General features: G+C 41.5%; 1 protein-coding gene across 3 annotated transcripts, besides 1 other annotated feature; it reads left to right on the forward strand.

The window, feature by feature from the left end:
• Window positions 1-7,040: 7,040 nt before the first annotated feature.
• On the forward strand, window positions 7,041-26,378 carry HRH4 (histamine receptor H4). Of its 3 annotated transcripts, NM_021624.4 has the most exons (3): window positions 7,041-7,325; window positions 15,192-15,355; window positions 23,151-26,365. In NM_021624.4, the coding sequence occupies exons 1-3, from the start codon at window positions 7,133-7,135 to the stop codon at window positions 23,964-23,966; spliced, it is 1,173 nt and encodes a 390-aa protein (NP_067637.2). In that variant the 5' UTR covers window positions 7,041-7,132; the 3' UTR covers window positions 23,967-26,365. The 3 variants fall into 3 exon arrangements, with proteins under 3 accessions (NP_067637.2, NP_001137300.1, NP_001153638.1); NM_001143828.2 differs by lacking the exon at window positions 15,192-15,355 and having other exon boundaries at window positions 23,251-26,378; NM_001160166.2 differs by lacking the exon at window positions 15,192-15,355.
• Window positions 18,904-19,404: an enhancer, noted in NCBI's record as "H3K27ac hESC enhancer chr18:22052464-22052964 (GRCh37/hg19 assembly coordinates)". NCBI's record gives its function as "activates a minimal SCP1, AML or CMV promoter by ChIP-STARR-seq in naive H9 embryonic stem cells {active_cell/tissue: H9 hESC(naive)}" and the evidence as "EXISTENCE:reporter gene assay evidence [ECO:0000049][PMID:30033119]".
• Window positions 26,379-26,463: the final 85 nt, after the last annotated feature.

Raw genomic sequence — 26,463 nt, forward strand, 5'->3', positions numbered from 1 at the left:
AATTTTTAAGTTTTTTTCAACTTTTCACTGTTATAAACAACTGTGAAAACCTACATCATTTGCAGATTTTTGTATGTATCTTTGATTATTTCTTTAGGAAAAGCTCCTAGATATCGAATTTCTTGGTCAAGGTTTGTACATTCTAATAGCTTTTGATTAGTTGAGTCAGATTGTCATCCAGGAAAGTGTTATCAGTGATTGCTCCATTAATATTGTGTTGGAATATTTAATACCAGCCAAAGATGGGAAAAAATAGGCAGTTTGCTTGATAACTCCCAAGATCCTTTTTAAAAAAGTAAACTTTTTGGCCAGGCACAGTGTCTCACGTCTGTAATCCCAGCATTTTGGGTGGCTGAGGCAGGCGGATCACTTGAGGTCAGGAGGTTGAGACCAGCCTGACCAACATGGTCAAACCTGTCTCTACTAAAAATACAAAAAAAATTAGCTGGGTGTGGTGGCGGGCACCTGTAATCCCAGCTACTCAGGGGGGCTGAGGCAGGAATATCACTTGAACCCGGGAGGCAGAGATTGCAGTGAGCCCACATCGTGCCTTTGCACTCCAGCCTGGCGACAAGAGTGAAACTCCATCTCAAAAAAAAAAAAAACAACCTTCTTGCCTTGAAATAATTGTAGCCTCACAAGAAGTTACAAAAATAGTAGGTCCTGTGTACCCATCACTGAGCCTCCACTGACAGTAGTATAACTATAGTAAAATTGCAAAACCAGGAAATAGTTTGATTACGATTCTTTTATCAGATAAATGATTTCCAAATATTTTCTCCCAGTCTGTGGCTTGTCTTTTCATTCTCTTAGCAGTGTATTTTGCAGAGTAAAGTTGTTAATTTTGATGAGATCTAATTATCTTTTTTTTTCCTCTTTTTTGGATCATTCTTTTTGATGCAACATCTAAGGACTTTGCCTAACCCCAGGTCTAGATTTTCTTCTGTTTTTAAAGTTACATCATTTTGTGTTTTTCTTGTAGATCTATTTTCCATTTTTAGTTTTTACATAAGGTGTGAGATTAAAGTCAAAGTTTTTTTTGTTTTGTTTTTTGCTTATGGATGTCCAGTTATGGAAGTGACTAGTTTTTGTAAATTGAACTTTTTTTTTTGAGACAGGGTCTTGCTCTGTTGCCCAGGCTGGAGTGCAGTGGCCTGATCATGGCTCACTGCAGTCTTGACTTCCCTGGCTCAAGCGATCCTCCCACCTCAACATCCCGAGTAGCTGAGACTACAGGTGCATGCTACCACACCAGGCTAATTTTTATATGTTTTGTAGGGATGGGGTTTCACCATGTTGCCCAGGCTGGTCTCTGTCTCCTGAGCTCAAATGATCTTGGCTCACTGCAACCTCCACCTCCTGGCTTCAAGTGATTCTCATGTCTCAGCCACATGAGTAGTTGAGACTACAGGCACGTGCCACCAGGCCTGGCTAATTTTTGTATTTTTGGTAGAGATTGGCTTTCACTATGTTGGCCAGGCTGGCCTTGAACCCCTGACCTAAAGTGATCCACCCTCCTCGGCCTCCCAAAGTGCTGGGATTACAGGCGAGAGCCACTGTGCCTGGCCTCTAAATGGACTTTGATTTGGGTATACCATAATGCTTCCCATACCCATCCACATAGAATTCCTGATTTTTCATTCTCAGTACTTGAGCCTGCAAATTAGATTTCATCATTTTCCTTTCTCAGTGATCCAAGTATCTCAATTGTTCCTCCATCTCTTTATGGCTTTCCATCCCCAATAACAGGAACAAGAGCTATTTTTGTACATAATGTTTTGACAGATGGGACATGCTGAAGATGAACGTCTTCCATCATATCCCAGTACCTTCTTTAAACTTTCATTATCACAATCAATGGTTACACAATGTTCATTTAGACTAATGGTAATCAGTGTTTTCCAGATTCAACTGGATATGTATTCCGTAGTTTGCTTCCCAATTCAGGTTTTCAACCATAGCTCTATCCTATGAAATGGAAACCAAAGGACATAGTCATATCTGTATTGTTCCAGATAGTTGTAGTCAGAGTTGCTATCTGCTCATCCATTTTGAGGATGAAGACCACTCTCAGAAGTGTATGTTTCATTCATTGAGTTGGCTTCTGTACTGCTTACTTCTTGATTCTTCAGAAAGAGGTTTTGGAAAACTGAATCCTTTACTGCAAGGGGCACTGAGTGAAAGTTAAAAGAGAATATTATTCTTTTGCTCTGAGATTCTCTCAAGGCACCAAAATTATATTAGATTTTCCCTTTTGTAACTACCCTTCCCTCAGCAACAATTTCACCTTTCTTCCTTTTATCATTAATTTAAATCCAAACCTTTCCCTCTAAAGTAGGTCCCACTGGTTGTCACTGGACTAGCCCATATTTTTGGTAGCAAGATGAGATATTCCAGGGTTTCCCTTTGGGGTCATTCCCAATAATAGGGGATCACACTGGATAAATATGAAGAAAGGGTACTATCCTTCCATGAAGCAACAAAACATTTGCATAGTCAGCCCCAGCTTGGCAAAGTGCAGGGAACAGATAATCCATACCATCAATCTCTTTGGAATTTTTGCATTTAGGTTCAAATTAATATATATATTACCTTGTTTTGGAATATTATATGATTTTGGGATTCTTTTTTTTTTTTTGAGATGGAGTCTCACTCTGTCACTCAGGCTGGAGTGCAGTAGTGTGATCTCAGCTTACTGCAACCTCCGCCTCCCGGGTTCAAACGATTCTCCTGCCTCAGCCTCCCAAGTAGCTGGGATTACAGGTGCATGTCACCACGCCTGGCTAATTTTGTATTTTTAGTAGAGACAGGGTTTCACCGTGTTAGCCAGGATGGTCTCAATCTCCTGACCTTGCAATCTGCCTGCCTTGGCCTCACAAAGTACTGGGATTACAGGCGTGAGCCACCATGCCCGACGTGGATTTTGGGATTCTTAATGGTAGCCCTGGTTGCAAGGATTACTAGATGCATTATTGAAAAGAAAAATAGAGGTGAAGTAGGGAAGATTGTATGCAAATACTTGTTTCGTTCTTTATCTCTTTCTCCCTAATTCCACCAACAGATATAATCATTTACCTAATGGAATTTCACTTTTAGTTCCCCTTACCTACAGTTGCAAAACACAAAGCTGCAGGCTTGTAGACTAGTCATTTGATTCTTTGTTACGCCCACCTTCTTAAACAGGTACTTTAGTTATTCATTTCAATTTCCTTTTAACCCACGACTTTGAAAGTGATAAATATAAGTCCATTGAATACAATGTTATTTTGCATGTCATTGCCTATGTGAGCAGTAAACTGAGTGCCATCAGTTGACTTTACTACGATCTAACTAATCTTCAGTTTAGATCAGTTAAAAAGGTAGAAATTGGCTGGACATGGTGGCTCACACCTGTAATTCCAGCACAACACTTTGGGAGGCTGAGGTGGGCAGATCAATTGAGGCCAGGAGTTTGAGACCAGCCTGGCCAACATGGTGAAACCCTGTCTCTACCAAAAAATACAAAAATTAGCCAGGCGTGGTGACACACACTTGTAATCCCAGCTACTCAGGAGGCTGAGGCAGGAGAATTGCTTGAACCTGGGAGGCAGAGGTTGCAGTGAGCCGAGATTGTGCCACTGCACCTCAGCCTGGGTGACAGAACAAGACTGTGTCTCAAAAACAAACAAACAAAAAAGGTAGAAGTCTTCCAAAATTCTATGTTTCTCTGAAGTCTGACGTAGGGGAATGGGATGGGTTGGGAGAATCTCAGTTTGCCCCTTGCTTCCTCAGAGTCTTTCTCCTGTGGGAAACTGCATCTTTTTGGCAGTGAATTTTAAACTGAAAAAGATGTAGGTTCTGAACTCAGGTATTTGCCTTTAAAAAAATCTGGTTCTGGTCTTGCTTTTGAAGTGGATATCTAATGAATACATATTAGTTGGAATTATACAGTAAAGGAGTTTCTGGCTCAGGTTATGATTGGCACATGAGAAATAATAGTTTTTTTCCCCCCAGTGAAATTATTAAGAAAGGGAAAATGTAATTAATATGGTTTGGCTATGTCCCCACCCAAATCTCATCTTGAATTGTAGTCCTCATGTGTCGAGGGAGGGAAGTAATTGGATGATGGGGGCAGTTCCCCCATGCTGTGTGCTCACATGCTCTCTCTTGCCTGCTGCCGTGTAAGACATGCCTGCTTCCCCTTCCACCATGACTGTGTTTTCCTGAGGCCTCCCCTGCCATGTGAAACTGGGAGTCAATTAAACCTCTTTTCTTTATAAATTATCCAGTCTTAGGTATGTCTTTATAGCTGTGTGAAAATGGACTAATACAACAATTAATTGCTTTTTATCTTCATTTTAATAAATTTATAAGCAAATGGCATTAATAAATTATGATAGAGCAGAATGCAAAGATTTTTAAATAATTTAATCAACCAAATGTGGATCACATAGAATGAATATATATGAAGAAGTATTTTATATAATTTTTGAATGTACAATTGCATTTATAAAATAAAAATATGCAAAATCAACTTATGTTTTTAAATGTCCAGATAATGCTTACCCATGAGGGCTGAGTAACTGGAAAAGGGTGTGGGTGGTGGTTACATGGTTATGTTCAGCTTGTAAAAATTAATCAATTATCAATTTGTGACTTATACATATACTTAAACAAAAAAGTAACAAAAACAAAATGAAACAAAGTGCAGTCTCTGCCCTTTAGCAACTTATGTTCTATTAGGAGGGCCAGCAAGAAAATCTCCATTTCTGTTACTCTTCCTTTCTTTGTGTAGAGTCATTTTTGCATTTGGCATCATTTTCCTTCTGCTTGAAGAACTTCCTTTACCATTTCTTGTAGAGCAAGTTTGCTGGTGGTGAATTATTTCAGCTCTCATATATCTAAAAACCCTTTATTTTGTCTTTGTTTATGAAACTTTCTTTTTTTTTACTAAATATAGAATTCTAGGTTGAGTTTTTTTTCCTTTCAACATTTGAGAGATATTGCAGCCACTGTTTTTCTGCTTCTGTTGCTTCTGATGAGAAACATGCTGACACTCATACCTTTCTTATTTTGTATGTTATGTGTCCCCCCTCAACCCCTGCTGTTCTTAAGCTTTTCTTTTTCACACTGGTTTTGAGCAATTTTATTTGATATACCTTGTGTAGTTTTCTTTGTTTCTTGTGTTTGGGGTTCATTGAGCTTCTTGGTTTATATTTCTCATCACATTTTGAAACGTTTTAACCATTGATTCTTCAAATTTTTTTCTGTCCTTTCCTTTCTCCTTTCCTCCTGGGACTCCTATTAGACATATATTAAGTCACTTGAAGTTGTCTTCTACCTTAGTGATACACTGTTAATTAAAAAAAATCTCTTTTATCTCTGTGTTTCATTGTAGGTGGATTATATCATTACATGTTTAAGTTCACTAATCTTATCTTCTGCAATCTCTGCCATTAATCCTTTCCAATGTATGTTTAGTCCAGACCTTCTAGTTTTTATTTCTAGATGTTTGATTAAAAAATCTTCTATATCTTTACATATCTTTTTGAAAATATGGAATACAGCTATATTCCATTTTCGTTTTTCCATATTCCATCTGACTATTTTAATGTTCTTGTCTGTTAATTCTAATATCTGTGTGATTTCTGAGTTGACTTCAATTGATTGATGTTTTTCCCCTTATTATAGATCACATTTGCCTGCTTCTTGGCATGTCAGATAATTTTTAATTGGATTTAAGACATTGTAGTTTTACATTGTTGGGTACTGGATATTTTTATGTTATATAAATATTCTTGAGCTGTGTTCAGGGTTGCAATTAAGCTGCTTGGAAACAGTTTGATCCTTTCAGGTTTTGCTTTTAAGATTTGCTAGGAAGAACCCAAGAAATATTTAGTATAGGGCTAATTATTCCTGACTACTGAGGCAAGACCCTTCTGAATGTACTGCCCAACGTCCCATGAATTAGGAACTTTTTCCATTTGGCTAATGGGAGCAGGCACTATAACCAGCCCTCTGTGAGCATTGGGTACTATTGCCTCTAATATTTTCGAGTGGTTCTTTTTCTTGCCTAAAAACAGTTCCTCCACAAGTGCTAATCAGTACTCTGGTGAATACTTGAAGGGGGTCCTCTGCAGATCTCTGGAGTTCTGCTCAGTGTGGCTCTGCAGTTCAGAATCCTCTCTGGTACTCCTGTACTCTCAACTCCATTTCCTCATCCCAGGGAGTCTCCTGGGCTCTGCCTGGATTTCCCCTCTCTGCCCATGCCCTGGGAACTCTCAAGATAGTAAGGTGGGGCAACTGCAGACCTCATCCGTTCTCTCAGGGATCACCGTCCTTCCTTGTTAATGACAAGTGCCTTGAAAACCATTGTCTAGTTTTTTGGCTGTTTCAGATGGGATTGTGAAATTCAGCCCCTGTTACTCCATCATGGCCAGATGAGAATATTGAACTGAATCTACACGAGTTTTAAAAATGGCCTGGTGTGGTGGCTCATGCCTATAATCCCAGCATTTTGGGAGGCCGAGGTGGGTGGATCACTTTAGGTCATGAGCTCAAGACCAACCTGGTCAACATGGTGAAACCCCATCTCTACAAGAAATAACAAAAATTAGCTGGGCATGGTGATGAGTGCCTGGAATCCCAGCTACTTGGAAGGCTGAGGCAGGAGAATCGCCTGAACCTGGGAGACAGAGGTTGCAATGAGCCGAGCTCACATCAGTGGCCTCCAGCCTGGGCAACAGAGTAAGACTCCATCTCCAAACAACAACAACAACAACAACAACAACAACAACAACAACAACAATGAACCTTGTGTGAGCCCAATTTATTTCCTGTATAATGATTATATTTTATAGATATTACATGATTTTATTCTAATAATGGAGATGGATGCATCACAGTAAAATGTTTAAGGTAAAACATTTCACTGTTTTTTGGAAATACTTTCTCAGTGTCAGTTAAAGGGAAACTGTTACCACAAGCTTACTTTATCAAGAATCAGGAAGTACTATGAGATCAGCATTAGATTAAAACAGTGTTGTTTTGAGTGGAAGACTACACATTTTAGGTATGTGATTAGAAAACATACTTGTCAGAATTGTCTGGCTGGATTAATTTGCTAATTTGACCTTCTTCATCATTTGATGTGATGCCAGATACTAATAGCACAATCAATTTATCACTAAGCACTCGTGTTACTTTAGCATTTTTTATGTCCTTAGTAGCTTTTGCTATAATGCTAGGAAATGCTTTGGTCATTTTAGCTTTTGTGGTGGACAAAAACCTTAGACATCGAAGTAGTTATTTTTTTCTTAACTTGGCCATCTCTGACTTCTTTGTGGGTAAGTTATATGTCTTTATTTAAGACAGTCTTTTCCGATTTTAATTTATTTCTAAATCCTTAAAATAAGCTTTTGTTATTTCAGGGGACTGTATACAACTGGGGAAAAATAAACACAAAAAGTTTAAGTATTAAATTTTGGAGGGGGCTATATGGCACTGTAAGGGAATGTTATACATATGTAAATCAGTGTGGTAGGGGAATTTTCAGCTGAAAACAGTTTATTTTCTTTTTATAGAATAAAGATAAGTCCAGTATAGCTCCAAAATTTTAATGTAAGAGTTACTTGTTTCTGGTGCTATTTTCCTCATATGTTTAGGCTTATAAGTATTCCTCTTTAAGTAAATATGGTTTTGTTGGTATCACAATGTTGGAGTAATAAGAAATTATGTATATGCTAGTAACCAGTGCAATCAGAAAATAGCGTATTCAGATCAATTAAATAATATGATTAATAGTATTAATTTAATGATATGGCATAGAATTTTGTAAAATATACCCAACTGTAAACTGCCTTGCATATAATATGATATCATAGCATTATATCATCGTTAAGAGACCATAGAAATCAAACCAACTTTCTCTGAAAACACGCACTTTATAATTTTTCACTGCCTGATGCTTCTTATTTTTAAACAATGCTTATCATAATAAGTAGATGTACAGAAATGTCAGCTGATGATACTATTTTACAGGAGTTTCTAGTATAATTTAATCTGGCATATTCAGATTATTTTTGTCTATAACTACATAAAGCTTACATTTATGTTAAAGTGAAATAAACACACAAAATACTTAGTTCATTCCCTGGAATACAGTTGTTACTCAACAAATGTTAGTTCTCTTTTTTTTTTTTTTTTAATTTCTCTGCAGATATGGGTCAACCCCAATCTAGGTCACAAATGTTAGTATAGTATCTAGCCTGTATAATACTGCTAGGTATGCAAGCACTATTAGGTAATCAAGGGATCTATAGAAGATTAGGTTAGTCTCTTCCAGTAAGTTTTTGATGTAGAAGAGTGGACAAGAGATGTTCAGAAATGACTATAGCAGTATAGAGTAACACGAGACCCCACGAAGACCTAAGAAGTGCTATGGTCACTTGGAGGAGGGATAAAGCACGTTTAGTTAGCGAATAGAGGCATTTAACATGAACTTTGAAAGATGGATAGAATTTCCATAGTCAGAGATAGGGCGAAGGATTCTTTGCTCCAAGAATGAGCAAAGGCATGCTGGTAGAAAATCATTGTGCTTATCTTCCTAAGGGTGAGTGAGCTTGGAGCTGGCTGGTGTGCAGATAGGTGCAGGGGAGCCGTAGAGATGAAGATGAAATCTATAAAGTGAGGGCCTTTAAATACCAGCGTGAGTGTGGAGTGGAATTTATTCAGCAGGCCTTGTGGAGATTTAAAGATTTTAAAACAGGAGAGTGGTTGAACAGATCAAAGCTTTACTTTAGAGACATCGGAAGAGCCGTAGGAAATGGGGAAACTGGAGTGTGGGGCGGCATGCTTTCAGAGATGATCCTGCAGCAATCTAGGCAGAAATCATGCAGTTAGGACCTGAGCTAGGATGATTGGAAAGGAAGGCCAACAGGCAGAGCAGCTAAGGGTGTGGTTGGGCGGGAAAAGAGAAAGCTGAGTTAAAGATTGGGCTTCTGAGACTAAGAACGGTACGGTGCTCTTCAAAGAAACAGGAAGTATTTGGGCAGGACAGCTCTGGTTCTGATGTTGCACTGAAAGTTCTGGAGAAAAATTCTAGTTGGGGAGATTGATTTAGGAGTCATGGCATAGAAATGACACATAAAGGCAGCTAACCCATAAAGAAGTATTGAAAAAATGCACTGTCTCCACATTTGTTTCCTCAATTCTGTCCCTTCAGGTAACCAACATTTGCTGCTTGATGTAGATCCTTCCACATCATTCTCTGTGCTCCCATAAACATGTACAAATACACGAGTTTATTTATGTGAACATAGAGAAAGTTCCACTATAAATATATGTATCCTTTGCTTCTTCCTTCTTCACAGGATCTTGTGACTTTTAGATGACAGTCATCACTTAAAATAGATGATGTGCTTTTACTAACCCAAAGGGAGTGAGGCCCTGACTGCCCCAGTTTTAGGGTGGGAAGGGTGAGACAGCTGAGAGAGCCTGGGGCCTGAAGCTTTTGAATCAAGATGGTTCTAGGTAAAAATGTCTCCATGTCTGGCCCAAGACCAGCATCATGGCAGTCCCACCCTCAAGGGCTTGAGCTTGTCTTTGGAAAATGGCCCTGCAGATGTAGTTATTCAGCAGTCCTGGTGATCTCCTCCATCAGCAGGTGGGTGAAGATATAATTCTGATAATTTCTTTTGCTCCTGATTAAAGGAGTTGGGTGCAGGTCAGAGTCTCCTTTCATCTGCCTGCCAGCCTCATCCCTCACATCTCCCCTGCCTCCTGCCAGCTTCATCCAGAGGTCTGCATATTTAATGCAGGGCTCACCATGACACAGTCCCTGGGAGCTTTTTGTAACAGGATTCAAGTTTTCTGGCAGTGCTGTTCTTTCTCCTTTGCCATGCTGGGAAATGAACCTTTTGTCTCAGCCTGGAAGAAGGCGTGGACGTGGTGAGCATGCAGGGCAGAACTCGTGAGAGGTTTTCTGCAGCTGTTAGCCATTGATTCTTAACATTTGGGGTCATGAGATCCAGAGCTCCAGAGCCATGTGACCATGGCAGGGCAGATTAGACCCTCACATGTGCTTGGAACTGTGGCTTTGCTGGCTGAATGCCCTCTTCCCCCCAGGTTTCAGAACTGGCCCTCTGCGGAGAATCTAAATTTGTGGCACCCAAGTTGCTAATTTCTCAGGCTGAATTTACTGTTGAGAGCAAAGATTTATTGAGGAAAAATTCTAGTACTAGCTATACCGGACGTTATATAAATACACCTCATCTGTATACTATTTTGGGAAACATACTATCTATATCTACATCAATATCAATAAAAGTGTTACCATGTAACCAGTGTTTCCATTTGTGGGTACTTTCTTCTCATCCCCATGTTGTGTTGGCGTTTGTGGCCTACATGACCATGTGACAGATGGCTGGACAGGATCTTCAGGGGATAAAGGTGGTTGCTGCTATCAGAGCCTGAACCAAGTGTTCAGGATGGCAGAATTTATCTTGATACCTGTATGCCTGAGTTCAAGACTCTTTTCTGGCCTTCTGTATTTATCTGCTCAGGCTGCCATAACAAAATACCCTAGACTGGGTGGCTTAAACAACTGACATTTATTTTCTCACAGTTCTGGAGCTGGGGACATCCCAGATCAAGATTCTGGCCAATATTGGTTCCTGATGAGGGCTGTCTTTCTGGCTTGCAGACGGCTGCCGTCTACCTGCGTCCTCAAGAGGCCTTTCTCTGAGTGCGCACAGAGAGAGAGAGTGAGCTCTCTGTTGTCTCCTCTTATAAGCACACTATTGGATCAGGGCCCCACTCTTATGAACTGTTTTACTCTTAATTTTGTCCTTGAAGGTCTTAGTTCCAAATATAGCCACATGGGGGGTTAGAGCTCCAACATGTGAATTTGGGGAGGGCACATACACATTCAGGCCATAACACCCTCTGTGCACTCACCATCATCCACACATTCCTCTGGCGGCCCAAAGGATTTACTTGGGGATTTTAGCTCCTGCCATCTTTTGATTGCCATTTTCTCATGGAAGATATAGCTTCTTAGCTGGCTTAGAAAGAAGGGACGATGCCAGATGGGTGGCAATTTTAAAGCAAACTGGGCTTCTCCATCCTCATCTATTTGTTCATCCAACAATTATTTCTTTTGAAGGAGGCACTTTCTGAGGTGCTGGGGATAGAGCAGTAAAAATACACGTGAAAATCCCTGCCCTCATGATGCTTCTGTTTCTACTGGGAGCAGGGGCATGGAGACAGAAAATAAACAAGAAAAATAACTAAGACAAATTTTATAGTATTTTAGAGGGTGATAATTGCTACTGAAAAAAATGCAGAGAGGAGGGAAAGGGAGTGTGCTGGGAGTGGGGCTGCAATTTTAAACCTTGGAGCTAGAATTTACTGAGAAAGACACATTTGAAGCCTGGGCGTGGTGGCTCACATCTGTAATCCCAGCACTTTGAGAGGCCAAGGTGGGTGGATCACTTGAGGCCAGGAGTTCGAGACCAGCCTGGCCAATATGGTGAAATTCCAATCTCTACTAAAAATACAAAAATTAGCCGGGCGTGGTGGCGTGTGCCTGTAATCCCAGTTACTCAAGAGGCTGAGGCAGGAGAATCACCTGAACCCAGGAGGTGGAGGTTGCAGTGAGTCGAGATCATGCTACTGCACTCCGACTTGGGTGACAGAGCCAGACTGCGTCAAAAAACAAACAAACAAAACAAAAAGGAAAGACATTTGAGCAAACAGAAGGCGCCCTTGGGGGAAGAGCATTTCACGCCAAGGAACAGCAGGTGCGCAGGATCTGAGGCAGAAGGGTGGGTGGTGCATTGGAGGCCAGAACGGCTGGGATGGAGTGATTGAGGGGTGAGAAGTAGGAGTGGGACTGCGGAGGTGGGGGCATATAGCTTGTTTTCTTTTACTTTTGTCTTAATCTTTTCAAGAAACTGGCTCTTAGTTTTACTTATCAGCTCCATTTGACCCAAAAACACAATTCCAGAATCGAAGGTGTAGAAACACTTCAGAGTAGGTATATTAGAGAAATAGTTCAGATTCCGTTTTTTTGCAACTCGTTCGGAACGAGCCACAGACATCTCTGTTGCTCAACAAGACAGAGGAACTGAGCATGACACAAGTACGGAAGCATTACCTAGAATTCAGGGTGACAGCACAGTGGGGGTTATGAAAACCAAAGGAATATCCTAGAGCCTGTCTTCAGCTAACCACTGTTTCCAGCAGCTCCTAGGCTTTTGAACACACCTTTCCTCTTTTGCATAAATCAGAAAGCGTGTGACAAAGAGCATTTACCTCCCACCCCCTGCCCTGAACCTCTCAGTCAGTGGTGTCTAGAATGCATTACTAGTATCTCTCTTCTTTCTCATTCTGTGAAAGAAATGAGTTCCAGTGTTGAAAATACTCATGTTGGGAACATTGGAAGCCACAACCGTGGGCTGAAATATAATAAATGTCTGTTTTGGGATACTTTGATTTACCTCAAGTGGACCTGGTGACCTATATTATTTTATATATATATATTTATTTATTTTTGAGGCAGGGTCTCACTCTGTTGCCCAGGCTGGAGTGCAGTGGCGTGATCATGGCTCACTCCAGCCTTGACCTCCCTGGCTCAAATGATCCTCCTGCCTCAACCTCCTGGTTAGCTGGAACTACAGGCTTGTGCCACCATGTCCAGCTAATTTTTGTATTTTTTTTTTTTTTTTGTAGAAATAGGGTTTTGCCATGTTGCCCAGGCTGGTCTCCAACTCCTGAGCTCAAGTGAGCTACCTGCCTCAGCCTCCCAAGGTGCTGGAATTACAGGCATGAGCCACCACTCTCAGCCAGTGACCTATTTTATACCATAGACATACACACACATACTCTGGAGATGAAAGGCACCCTAAGGAAGTTTACTTATCATTAAAAATATAATTGAAACATGAAACAAACAGGTTATTTAAACTACATATAAGAACTGACCACGCAACTCTTCATCTCTGTGGTGTCTTGTACCTAGGGACAGAATACTAGGGTTTAGCACTACCTTCCACTGGTTCTGAAACCATGCCATTATAGCCTCATGTGGTCTTGTTTTGGAGAATGCAGGCTTTCCTTCTTCCTTTCCTTTTCCTTTAACTTTACTATTCTTAATAATAGACTAATTTGGTTCTCATGAAAAAATGGGAATTCCTGGAAGTACCTGATACATTTGAAGTAACTCAACAAAGTAAGATTTCATCTCAGCTTCCACTTAATAGATCATATTCTTAGCAACTAATCACACCTGTCTGAAATGCCAATGCAATTACAAACCCCTAAAAGCTAAAGGAAAAGGAACCTCGTTTCGTCACTTTTCAGTTAAGCAGTTTCTATGCTGGGCTGAATCACTGTGGTAGAGCTTATCTATTTGTTCATGCAGTGAAGAGTTGCAGGTAAAGTCAGAGGTTCTGAAATCACAATCCCTGGTTTCAGATGCAATCTTCTCCACTTGCTAGTTGAGTGGACCTTGGTCTAATTATCTCTTTTCTGAGCTTTAGGTTCTTTAACTGTTAACTCAGCATGGTCCCTTCCTCACAAAGTTTCTATGAAGATGAAATGAGGTGACATTTGCAATGCACACAGCACAGGGTCTGCCATATGGTAATTGTATAAGACATATTAGCTGTTACTAATTTAAGTGAAATGTACAAGTCATTGGCCAACTCTAGAGGTTGTAGGAAATACAAAGATTGATTTGCGATATGACCCTAATCCTCAGGAGAGACAGACTAAAAAGATGACTATGATATAAAAGTAGAATGTAATTAATGCATGAGAGAGGGAAAGATGAGCAAAGAACCAGGAAAGTGCAGAGGACAGAGGGGTCACTTCCACTGAGGAAGCTCCAAGAAAGAGGGCATGGAGGAGGTCACTTTTTGGCCTCAGTGAAAAATGAGAAAGAAGTGAATGGACTTTTTATTTATTTTTTATTTTCATTTTTTTGAGACAGAGTTTTGCTCTGTCACCCAGGATGGAGTGCAGTGGCCCCATCTCAGTTCACTGCAACCTCCATCTCCCGGGTTCAAGCGGTTCTCTTGCCTCAGCCTCCTGAATAACTGGGATTACAGGCGTGCACCACCATGCCCAGCTAATTTTTGTATTTTTAGTAGAGATGAGGTTTCACCATGTTGGGCAGGCTGGTCTTGAACTCCTGACCTCAGTTGATCCACCTGCCTCGGCCTCCCAGAGGGCTGGGATTACAGGTGTGGGCCACCGTGCCCGGCCTGAATTGACTTTTTAGTAGAAGACAGGTGGACATTTTGGGAAGAAAGAATGATGTTGGCAGAGAAAAAAGAGATGTGAAAATGTGCCATGTGTTTGGGGGAAGGGTGGTCCATCCTGTTGGGGTTAGAGCATGAAAAAAGTAAAGATGATTTATGCTGCCTGTGGCTAGAAATACAAGACCTGTACTTAATTTGGAAAGTAGAAAGGAGCCATTGAAAGTACAGTCGCCCCTTGGTGTCTGTGGGGGGTTTGTTCCAGGAATCCCCTTAGATAGCAGAATCCAAGAAAGCTGAAGTCCCTGATATAAAATGCTGTAGTATTTCCATATAACCTATGTACATCCTCCCATATACTTTATTATTTATTATTATTTTTAATAATAAAGATGGGGTTTCACCATGTTGCCCAGGCTAGTTACGAACTCCTGTCCTGAAGTGATCCACCCACCTTGGTCTCTCAAAGTGCTGGGATTACAGGCGTGAGTTACCACGCCCGGCCCCTCCCGTATACTTTAAATCATCAGTAGATTATGTATAATACCAAAGACAATGTGAGTGCTATGTAAATAGTTGTTATACTGTAGTGTTTAGAGAATAATGACCAGAAGTCATTACCATTAGTCAAAGTCTATACATGTCCAGTACAGATGCAGTTTTTTTCCAAATATTTTCTATCTGTGGTTGGTTGAATCCACAGATGTAGAATTCATGGATAAAGAGGGCCCACTGTGCAATGTTCATGACCCCTCTTCTAAAAATGGCGTTTAAGGAGTGTGTAGAAAATCAGTCCTGAGCTGCTTGATGAAATACCGTGAATTTCTAAATTAGAGACAAATCATTTGTAGTGAATTCAGATAGGTCATTGTGTTGTGTAGCCATTAAAACATGCACATTTGTGTTCATTGATGTGCGCTATGTTTTTACACTTATGTTTTCCCTGTGCAGGTGTGATCTCCATTCCTTTGTACATCCCTCACACGCTGTTCGAATGGGATTTTGGAAAGGAAATCTGTGTATTTTGGCTCACTACTGACTATCTGTTATGTACAGCATCTGTATATAACATTGTCCTCATCAGCTATGATCGATACCTGTCAGTCTCAAATGCTGTAAGTCGAAACATTAATTTATCCCCCTTAGAAGATTATGTAAATGTATATGATGGGTCCTCAAGCAAAAATTCTTTTAAGCCTAATTGTTAATTTAATCGACAGGCCTTAGAGGAACCCTATCCTTTTGTTGTCTGGCATAAAGTTCTTGCTGGTTGTTAGTTTGTGTGACTTGGATAATTCACTCACCTATGCACCATTGAAATGGGAAGGAATCAAAGAAAACCCAAGGCAAGTTGTCCCAACTGGTATACTAAGTCTATAGTAGATTGGATAGACATGACATTCATGACAGGTTTATGGGTTCTACTCCACAGACATATGGAGTATATGACCTGAATATATTCCTCGGAATGGAACTTGGAGGGCAGTAGAAAGAATCCCATACTTTGAAATGTGATGAGAAAATCAATTCTGAATGGCCAAACGAAAAGACAGTATATAGGGAAGCTACAGTTTACACAGTGGGACCAGCCAGAAAGATCAAGTCCTCATGCCCTTTTAGAACCTGGGCCAAGAAAGGTGGAACTTACTCAAGATTTGGAATAGCCTCATCTACGAGTTAGTGGAAATTTTTAAGTCAGCTAAATTTCTCAGCAATGGATCAAAAGAGAAAATAAAGTTGAAATAAGGACAAGGGGGCCATAGAAATGTGGGGCAGTGATCTGAAACCTTTGAGGCCTAGATAGGAAACTTCCTTCACTCCCCTCTCAGGGACCCAACTCTTTGGGGGACTACTGTGTGACAGGCATTTTGCTAAGTGCTGGGATACAGAAGTGAATATGCAGAGTCTCCATTTCATTTTTCTTTCCAACTTTTGTTTTGGCCTCAGGGGGTATGTGTGCAGGTTTTTTTACATGAGTAAGCTGCGTGTCGCGGGGGTTTTGGCGTAGGGATTATTTTGTCACCCGGGGAATGAGCACAGTATCTGATCGGTAGTTTTTTGATCCTCTCCCTCCTCCCACCCACCACCCTCAGGTAGGCCCCGGTATCTATTGTTTCTTTTTTTGTGTGAGTCTGTATTTTTGACGAGCATAGTCATCTACGTGGAGGCAGATCCAGGAACAAATCGGTTCAGTACAATGGACTAAGTGCTGTCCTGGGGTGTTGAGAGGACAGTGACAGATCTAGCCTGGGACGATTGTGCAGCTGGAGGTTGACAGGATTGGAAGGTGTATTAGATCAGGCATAGATAAACTGCTGTGACAAAGAGTCTCCAAAATGTGGAGGCTTAAGCAAGATAAATGTTTATTTTTCTCTTACATAACAGTCCATGAAAGAGTGGATTCTCTGCTCCAGGAACTCACCCAGGAACCCTGCTGGCAGGGTGGCTCTGCACCCTTTGGGGCAGGGACTGGCAAACTTTCATTATCAAGAGCCAGATAGCAAATAATTTGGCTTTGTAGAACCTACTGTTTCTGTTGCAACTGCTCAAATGTGCCATCGTAGCCCCCAAACAGCCATAGATGATATATACAAAAGTGTACTTGGCTCTGTTCCAATAAAACTTTATTTGCCCAAACAGGTGGTGGGCCACATTTGTTTCTCTATTTTTTTTTTTTTTTTTTTGGAGACAGGGTCTCACTGTGTCACCCAGGCTGGAGTGCAATGCCATGATCTTGGCTCACTGCAACCTCTGCCTCCCAGGTTCAAGTGATCCTCCTGCCTCAGCCTCCCGAGTAGCTGGGATTACAGGCGCATGCCACCATGCCTGGCTAATTTTTGTATTTTTAGTAGAGATGGGCTTTCACCGTGTTGGCCAGGCTGGTTTTGTACTCCTGATCTCATGTGATCCACCTGCCTCTGCCTCCCAAAGTGCTGGGATTACAGGCATGAGCCACTGCGCCTAGCCCATATTTGTTTCACGGACAGTAGTTTTCTGGCCTCTGCTTTAGTCCATTCTCCTCCTCTGCATGGCCAAAGTCAGGTTGTTGTCATACTAGATTCTAGGAAAGGGAAGAAGTCCAGAGCAAGGGATTTTTTTTTTTTAACCAAGTAGTGCAGAATCACACAGTCATTTCCGCTTACATTTTATTGGTGAAACTTAGTCACATGGTCCCATCTCGCCACAAAGGAAGCTGGGAAACTCTAGTCGAGCCACCACATAGTCAGGAAGGAGGTGAGAATGGATGTGGGAGGACAGCCAGCTATGTCTCCTCCTTAACATCGCATACTTCATTGGCGCCAGGGACCACTGCAGTTTGTATTGTATGCGGAGAGTGCAGATCAGCTTGGATTAACAATTCAAATGCCTATAGTCTCATATTTTTCAAACTGCTGGCCTTGACCCATTATTGATTTATGAAATCAATTTAGTGGGTTGTGACCTTTTTTTTTCATTAAAAAAATATGGAATGAAACAGAATAGAACAGCTGAGCATGTTGGCTCACGCTTGTAATCCCAGCACTTTGGGAGGCCAAGGCAGGTGGATCTCTTGAGGTCAGGAGTTGGAGACCAGCCTGGCCAATATGGTGAAACCCCGCCTCTACTAAAAATACAAAAAAATTAGCCAGGCATGGTGGCGCTTGCCTGTAATCCCAGCTACTTGGGAGGCTGAGGAAGGAGAATTGCTTGAACCCGGGAGGCGGAGGTTGCAGTGAGCTGAGATTGCACCATTGTACTCCAGCCTGGGTGTCGCAGCAAGACTCCATCTCAAAAAAAAAAAAAAAAAAAAAAAAAAAGAAATGTAATAGAACAAAATAAAAAATTAGAAACCTTCAGATTATCTTGTACATAATAAAAGTAAATACTGATTTATGAATACTTCCATCTGTGTGCTTGGTTGTGATATACAATATAATTTTACTTTAGATCACAGTCAAGTGTTTGAAAAATAATGCTCTAATTCAGAATCTTTCCCATTTGTACTTTCAAAATTTCCTTTCTTTCTGGGTTAACATTTCTTTTTAATCTCCACTGGATGTTCCTAGGGCTTCCTTCTCTAGATGTCCCAGCTTTTGAATTTACTCTCAGGTTTGTGGGCAGAAAAGGGACAGCTTACCCAGTTGGGAAAAGTGCTTAGAGGTTACAGAGAGATGAGGGATGATGCCCAGGGGAATGTAGACTTTCTTTTTGTTTTTTTGCTTTTTTTGTTTTTATTTTTATTTCTTTGAGACAGAGTCTGGCTCTGTCGCCCAGGCTGGACTGCAGTGACATGATCTCGGCTCACTGCAAACTCCCCCTCCCGGGTTCAAGCCATTCTTGTGCCTCAGCCTCCTGAGTAGCTGGGATTACAGGCGCGTGCCAGCGCGCTTGGCCAATTTTTGTATTTTTAGTAGAGATGGGGTTTTGCCATGTTAGCCAGGGTGATTTTGAACTCCTGACCTCAAGTGATCCGCCCCCCTCAGCCTCCCAAAGTGCTAAGATTACAGGCATGAATCACCATGCCCGGCCTGTTTTTTGTTTTTAAATCCTGGTCTTGCCTCGAGTAATTCCCCTGGAAATTCAGGCTGTAAACTTGGTGAGGGATGGGTTGGCTAGATCCTGGGTCCCCAGTGCACAGCACAGAGTAAAATATATAGGGTTCCACAAATGAATGTATGGATGCTGGCAGGGGTGCTCAGGCAGACCTTGTATCTCTGCTGGTGAATAGTTCAAATGCAGCCGTGTGAAAACAGAAGGAAGCCTTCAAAGACACTGGGATCCCATAGGAAGTAGCAGTGGGGAAGCTGAACTCTTACGGTAGCTGAAAGTACAGGAGACAGTGTGATAGGGGAAAGGGATGGGTGGCCTGGGAAATGGAAATCTGACAATAATTTGGAAAAGAAAAGCCCAGTGCAGGTGGAGCACATGATTACAGTCCTCAGAGAGGTTTTCTGGAGGTGCAGATTCCATGTGGCTGAAGTCAGAGTTGGGTGGGGAAGGAGAACAGCAGGGCTTCATGGTAGCTGGAGGGAATGGGAATTAAAATGTACAAAAAGGGTTTGGCGCGGTGGCTCATGCCTGTAATCCCAGGGCTTTGGAAGGCCGAGGCTGGCAGATCACTTGAGGTTAGGAGTTCGAGACCAGCCTGGCCAACATGGCAAAACACAGTCTCTACTAAAAATACAAAAATCAGCCAGGCTTGGTGGCGGGCGCCTGTAATCCCAGCTACTCGGGAGACTGAGGCAGGAGAATCACTTGAACCCAGGAGGCGGAGGCTGCAGTGAGCCAAGATCGCACCACTGCACTCCAGCCTGGGCGACAGAGCAAGACTCTGTCTCAAAAAAAAAAGTACAAAAAAGTATACAGAATTAAGATAGTAAAAGAAGGGTATTTCTTTACCTGCAGATGAAGAAAGAAACTTGACAGTAAAATCAAGACCACAGGAAATCTCATGGCTGGGAGGACACGCTGGGGCATTGTGTTTGTTTGCTGGAGCTACCAAAACAAGACCACAAACTGGGTTGCTGAAAACAACAGGAATTTATTCTGTCACTGTTCTGGAGACTAGACATTTGAAATCAAGGTGCTGACAGGGCCATCCTTTCTCAGAAGGCTCCAGGACACCTTGTTCTGTGCCTGTCTTTTAGCTGCTGGTGTTGCCAGCAACCCCTGGCATTCCTTGGCTTGTAGATGCGTCCCTCCAGTCTTTACATCTGTTGTAACGTGGTGTTGTCTCCCTGGGTCTGTGTCTGTGTCTCTGTTTTCTCTTCTTATGAGAACATATTGGATAGGGTGACCCCTAATTCAGTATGACCTCATCTTAACTGGATTACATCTGCAAACACCATATTTCCAAATAAGGTCACATTCACAGGTACTGAGGGGTTTAGGACTTCACCATACTTTTTGGGGGACATAATTTAACCCACAACAGGCACTTAGAATGGTCCTGAAATCCATCTCATTATGAACACCAACAAGTTCTAGTAGGCCGCTCGGCCTCACCAAAAAAACCTGATTGACAGAAGGTGTGGATATTTTATTGGGGCGGGAAAAAAGTAGGGTAAGAGACAGTGTCCTGAATAATGGGCATATTCTGTAGTGGGCAAGAGCTAGGCCGCTGCGGGATTTCAGGGACACCACTCCACGCAGCCTGGTTCCGATTCAAGCAATGCTTGAGCTGTCTATCTTTCAAATATGCTCCCCGGAGATGCACAGATCAGCATCCTCTTCACAGCTCCTTGGCTGTCCATTATCTCAACTGACCTTATGCATAACGGAAGAGAGATCACTTTCCAACATATTGTGTTATATCATTACCAAGGCTGAGCAGAGCAATTAAAAAACTAAATGCAGCTTTAGCACCATCTGGGTATTGTTACCATCTTCATAATCATTAGATTTAGTGCAAGAGATGTATTAATTAGTGGCACAGGAAGCAGAAGGCAAAAAAAAAAGTGTATCGCATGTGAGAGCTCATGGTCAGCACCATATGCATTTTAGCTTAGCCTCAAAAAGACCAGCAATTTGAGAGAGAAAAAAAAAACAACCAAGTGCACCTCCCTACAGTTAAAAAGAAAACTTAGTGTTTTTATTTTTAAATTATTAACTAGCTTTCTTTTACCTCCAGCCAATAGAGGTCTTCTCAGCCTGTAGGATCCATCAAAGAAAGAGTGCTGGGCAATGCTGCACCCCTTTAAACCATGAGAAACCATTGCAGAACGAGACTTAAAATCTCACAGAACAAATATGACACAAGAAATAGAAAAAAGGAAGCATGTACCAATTTCATGGGTAGATCCATTTTTTTTTGCCTGTGAGAGAGGAAATTAAAGAAACATGGAACATGAGAGCTGAAAGGAACCTTGGAACCTTACTGATTTTTTTTTTTTTGAGAGTCTCACTCTGTCACCAGGCTGGAGTGCAGTGGCTCCATCTCGGTTCACTGAAACCTCTGCCTCCCTGGTTTAAGTGATTGTTGTGCCTCAGCCTCCCGAGAGCTGGGACTACAGGTGCGAGCCACCATGCCAGGCTAATTTTTGTATTTTTGGTGGAGATGGGGTTTCACCATGTTGGCCAGGCTGGTCTCGATCTCCTGGCCTTGTGATCTGCCTGCCTCGGCCTCCCAAAGTGCTGGGATTACAGGTGTGAGCCACCGTGCTGGGCCAAAACCTTACTGATTTAAATGAGGTTCAGAGAGTTTGTCTGTTTCAGGTCACCTTAAAGAGTTCCTTATACCTCATAGAGTGATTGGTCTTAGGGGTCTTTAGATTTAGAAGACATTATTAAAGATTTCAGGATTGACATAAGGATTGTGGGTCCTGTGATGGGAGGGCAGTCCTCACTCATAGAATCTCATTTTCCTTTATAGAAGCCTGTCCTTGTGACCAAGGGGAGTTAGAATATTCTTCATCCTTAAAAAAGATGGTGGCACTAGCCACAGTCATATCTCTCAAAGTGGCTGGTTGTCACAGCTTTGACATTGTATTTGTCAGGTGGAAACACTTGCATCAAGAAGTAACGTGGGTGGGCTGGGTGGGCTCAAGTTTGTAATCACAGCATTTTGAGAGGCTAAGACAGGAGGATTACTTGAATCTAGGAGTTCGAGACCAGCATGGACAACATAGTGAGGCATTATCTCTACAAATAACAAAAAAATTTAGCTGGGTGTGGTGGTGTACATCTGTGGTCCTAGCCACTTGGGAGGCTGAAGCAGGAGGATCACTTGAGCCTAGGCAGTCAAGGCTGCAGTGAGCTGTGATTGTGCCACTGCACTGCAGCCCTGGGCAACAGAACGAGACCCTGTCACAAACAAACAAATGAACAAACAAACAAACACCAAGAAGTGACTTGGTAATGCTTAATAGCAATGTAGTATTTATCTGCAGCAGGTTTAAAAATCCTTTTTGGGCCAGGTGCGGTAGCTCACATGTGTAATCCAAGCACTCTGGGAGGCTGAGGTGGGCAGATCACCTGAGGTCAGGAGTTTGAGACCAGCCTGGTCAACATGGTGAAACCCCATCTCTACTAAAAATACAAAAATTAGCCAGGTGTGGTGGTGGGTATCTGTAATCCCAGCTATTCAAAAGGCTGAGGCAGGAGAATTGCTTGAACGTGGGAAGCGGTGGTTGCAGTGAGCCGAGATTGCGCCATTGCACTCCAGCCTGGGTGACAAGCGTGAAACTGTCTCAAACAAATAAAATAAAATAAAAACTAAAAAAAAAGTCTTTTTGTCTGTGGTTAATCTTCTTGGGAGTGATGAGAGTCTTTCTGTTTTTGATTCCACCTTGAAGTCTCAGCAAAAACCACAGAGTAGATTCTTTCTGTATATTGGAATCAGATAAGGCAATGGCTTTCAAACTCTTTTGACTGTGACCACAGTGAGAAATGGATTTGGTGCTGTGATTCAGAGAAGCTGCATTTCTCTTTATTTATATATATGTATCTCTATTCCCAAAGACATATTGCTTTATTTGATGAAACATCATTAAAGAACACCTACCCTCACTATATGTGATGCATTCTGACATCAACTATTCTATTTCATTAAAAAGATCTGGTCATGCTCAGCCTGAAGATTGAGCAATACTGTGGTAAGGTGCGTCCAACTTCAGTTGTTTGACATTCAGATTAGTGTCAATTAGGAAAAACTGCTTTCTTATTTTACATACTGGCCTTGACATTTTCTATAGTATTCAGGGATTTAACCTTGAAGGTAACAGTCTTCTCCCCTGAAAACCATTAAGAAAGTCTGCCTCTTGGTCCAGGCTTCACTGAAGTCAAACCCTCTGTCCTGGTCCACATCGTGATACCCAGGTTAGTTAATGTCTCCATCCTTTGCACATCCCTGAAATTTCTAAGGATCTATGAGATACTTTATGCATTCAACATACACATTCATTATATTGAAAATAATTTGGTTTCTTCTAGGTGTCTTATAGAACTCAACATACTGGGGTCTTGAAGATTGTTACTCTGATGGTGGCCGTTTGGGTGCTGGCCTTCTTAGTGAATGGGCCAATGATTCTAGTTTCAGAGTCTTGGAAGGATGAAGGTAGTGAATGTGAACCTGGATTTTTTTCGGAATGGTACATCCTTGCCATCACATCATTCTTGGAATTCGTGATCCCAGTCATCTTAGTCGCTTATTTCAACATGAATATTTATTGGAGCCTGTGGAAGCGTGATCATCTCAGTAGGTGCCAAAGCCATCCTGGACTGACTGCTGTCTCTTCCAACATCTGTGGACACTCATTCAGAGGTAGACTATCTTCAAGGAGATCTCTTTCTGCATCGACAGAAGTTCCTGCATCCTTTCATTCAGAGAGACAGAGGAGAAAGAGTAGTCTCATGTTTTCCTCAAGAACCAAGATGAATAGCAATACAATTGCTTCCAAAATGGGTTCCTTCTCCCAATCAGATTCTGTAGCTCTTCACCAAAGGGAACATGTTGAACTGCTTAGAGCCAGGAGATTAGCCAAGTCACTGGCCATTCTCTTAGGGGTTTTTGCTGTTTGCTGGGCTCCATATTCTCTGTTCACAATTGTCCTTTCATTTTATTCCTCAGCAACAGGTCCTAAATCAGTTTGGTATAGAATTGCATTTTGGCTTCAGTGGTTCAATTCCTTTGTCAATCCTCTTTTGTATCCATTGTGTCACAAGCGCTTTCAAAAGGCTTTCTTGAAAATATTTTGTATAAAAAAGCAACCTCTACCATCACAACACAGTCGGTCAGTATCTTCTTAAAGACAATTTTCTCACCTCTGTAAATTTTAGTCTCAATCTCACCTAAATGAATCAGGTCTGCCCTTTATCTTGCCCTTTTCATTCTACCAACAGATCTGCACTTTGAAGTCAATGGTAAATTACTCCAGTGAATAATAGCAGTATAATATGACTTGATAATATTTTTGTAAACTTGTAGTCATAATAGTACTATATTCTTCTTAGTCCTCACCTCTTCCTTGTCTTTTAGATCTTAATTTCATGCTGATTACAAAAATCCAGTTTTGTTTTCTTTCTATGTTCCATGCATAATACAGTCTTAAGTGAATTTCTCTTTTTTAATTTTATCGTAATAGAAACTTATCCAGTTTGAAAATCATTCCCTAAAGCATGCAATAGGAAAAAGAACCTCCTGGCTGGGACTGCCCAACTCTGTTCTGATCAGTGGGTGGGTGAGGTAGGGTTTGAGTTGGCAAGAGCAGGGAACGGGCATGTGCCCAGGTGAGCTCCTGTGTGTGTCCAGATTTTATATTCCTAATCCCAGTAAGGAAGAAAGCGTAGTGTGGGAGAGGAGAGAGCTGATGACTGCAGTTCTCAAAGGTCCTCAGTGAAGTTATTTTGGAGGCCCTGGTGGTCACAGGATCAGAAGGCAAGGGATAGGCAGTGGTCACCAATGGTTGAAAGTATGGCTTGTCCCATTTCTTCCTGTTCTCTTTTTCTAGCTTCCACATCAGCTTCCTTTTTTGAGAACATATAGAAGAAGAAGGCTAAGAGATGGTGAAGAGACTGCATGATTAAACTAGATAGACCTGGTATACAGTCACTGAACTAGTAGATGTCAATAATTATTATTTTTAAAAATTTTTATTTGTTGGCCGGGCATGGTGGCTCACGCCTGAAATCCCAGCACTTTGGGAGGCCAAGGTGGGCGGATCATGAGGTCAGGAGATCGAGACCATCCTGGCCAACATGGTGAAACCCCATCTGTACTAAAATACAAACAAGTAGCTGGTTGTGGCGCCGCATGCCTGTAGTCCCAGCTACTCGGGAGGCTGAGGCAGGGGAATTGCTTGAACCCGGGAGGCGGAGTTTGCCAGCCTGGCAACAGAACAAGACTCTGTCTAAAAAGAAAAAAAAATTTTTTTGTTTAAGACAGCATCTTGCTCTGTCTCCCAGGCTGGAGCGTAGTAATGCAATCATAGCTCACTGCAGCCTGGAACTCCTTGGCTCAAGCAATCCTGCTGCCTTGGCCTCCCAAGTATGTAGGACTACAGGTACTCGCCACCACACCTGGATAATTAAAAAATTATTTCTGTAGAGATGAAGTCTCACTGTGTTGCCCAGCCTGGGTGTCAATAATTATTTTTTAAAAAAAATTTTTAAAAAGGTTTTTTGAGACAGATTCTTGCTCTGTCACCCAGGCTGGAGTGCAGTAGCATGATCAGGGATCACTGCAACCTCTGCCTCCTGGGTTCAAGCGATTCTTGTGCCTAAGCCACCTGAGCAGCTGGGATTACAGGTGCATGCCACCATGCCTGGCTAATTTTGGTATTTTTAGTAGAGATGAGGTTTTGCCATTTTGGTCAGGCTGGAATTTTTTTTTTTTTAATTTTGATAAGACAGGGTATTGCCGTGTTGGCCAGACTGGTCTCAAACTCCTGGGCTGAAACAATCCTCCCGCCTTGGCCTCCCAAAGTGCTGGGATTATAGGCACAAGACACCACAATAATTATTGCCTGTATGTCAATTATTATTTTAAAATATTGTTGTATTTACTTAATGTCTTTAATGCATTTGCCCAATATTTTACATTGTACTGCTCAGAGGTATTCCTTTATTATGTGGTTAGCATAGGTTATACTTTGCTGACGATTCACATTTTATTAGTTTGGTTATGTTTTGTCCTTTTAAAACATTTTCTTTTGAGATGGGGGTCTTGCTCTGTTGCCCACGCAGGAGTGCAGTGGCATGCTCTCAGCTCACTGCAGCCCTGACTGCCTAGGCTCCAGCAATCTTCTTACGTCAGCCTCCAGAGTAGCTGGGACCGCAGGCACTTGCCACCACGCCCCACTAAAAATTTTTTAAATTGTTGCCTTTCTTGAAGTGTTCTCTGCCTGTCTTTGTCACAAAATTTCATTTTTCTCATAGTTAATTTCATCTCTCCGGTAAGATTTTATTGGTGTTTCTTTTATAACTTTGCAGTTCTTACACCGTTTGGTGATTTTCATGTTTCTTAGAAACTTTAAACCTTTAACTTCAAACATTAAAATACAAGTCTTTTAAGTACATGAGTGCTTAGAAATGTACATAATGTTTATATACACTTATGCCTTACATTAAAGTCCAATATGAGAAATACATGTTTAACATTCAATAATAATTTTAAAAATTTGAGAAATAAACTCTCATAAATGCACACATTTTTATAAACTTGCTACTTGTCTGCTGTTGATTTTAACATTTATATAAATTACTAGTTGTGGATTTCATGTGATCACTGGGGGCTTGAACATTCATG

Source organism: Homo sapiens, chromosome 18 (genome assembly GCF_000001405.40).
Source record: "Homo sapiens chromosome 18, GRCh38.p14 Primary Assembly".
Taxonomy (NCBI): domain Eukaryota; kingdom Metazoa; phylum Chordata; class Mammalia; order Primates; family Hominidae; genus Homo; species Homo sapiens.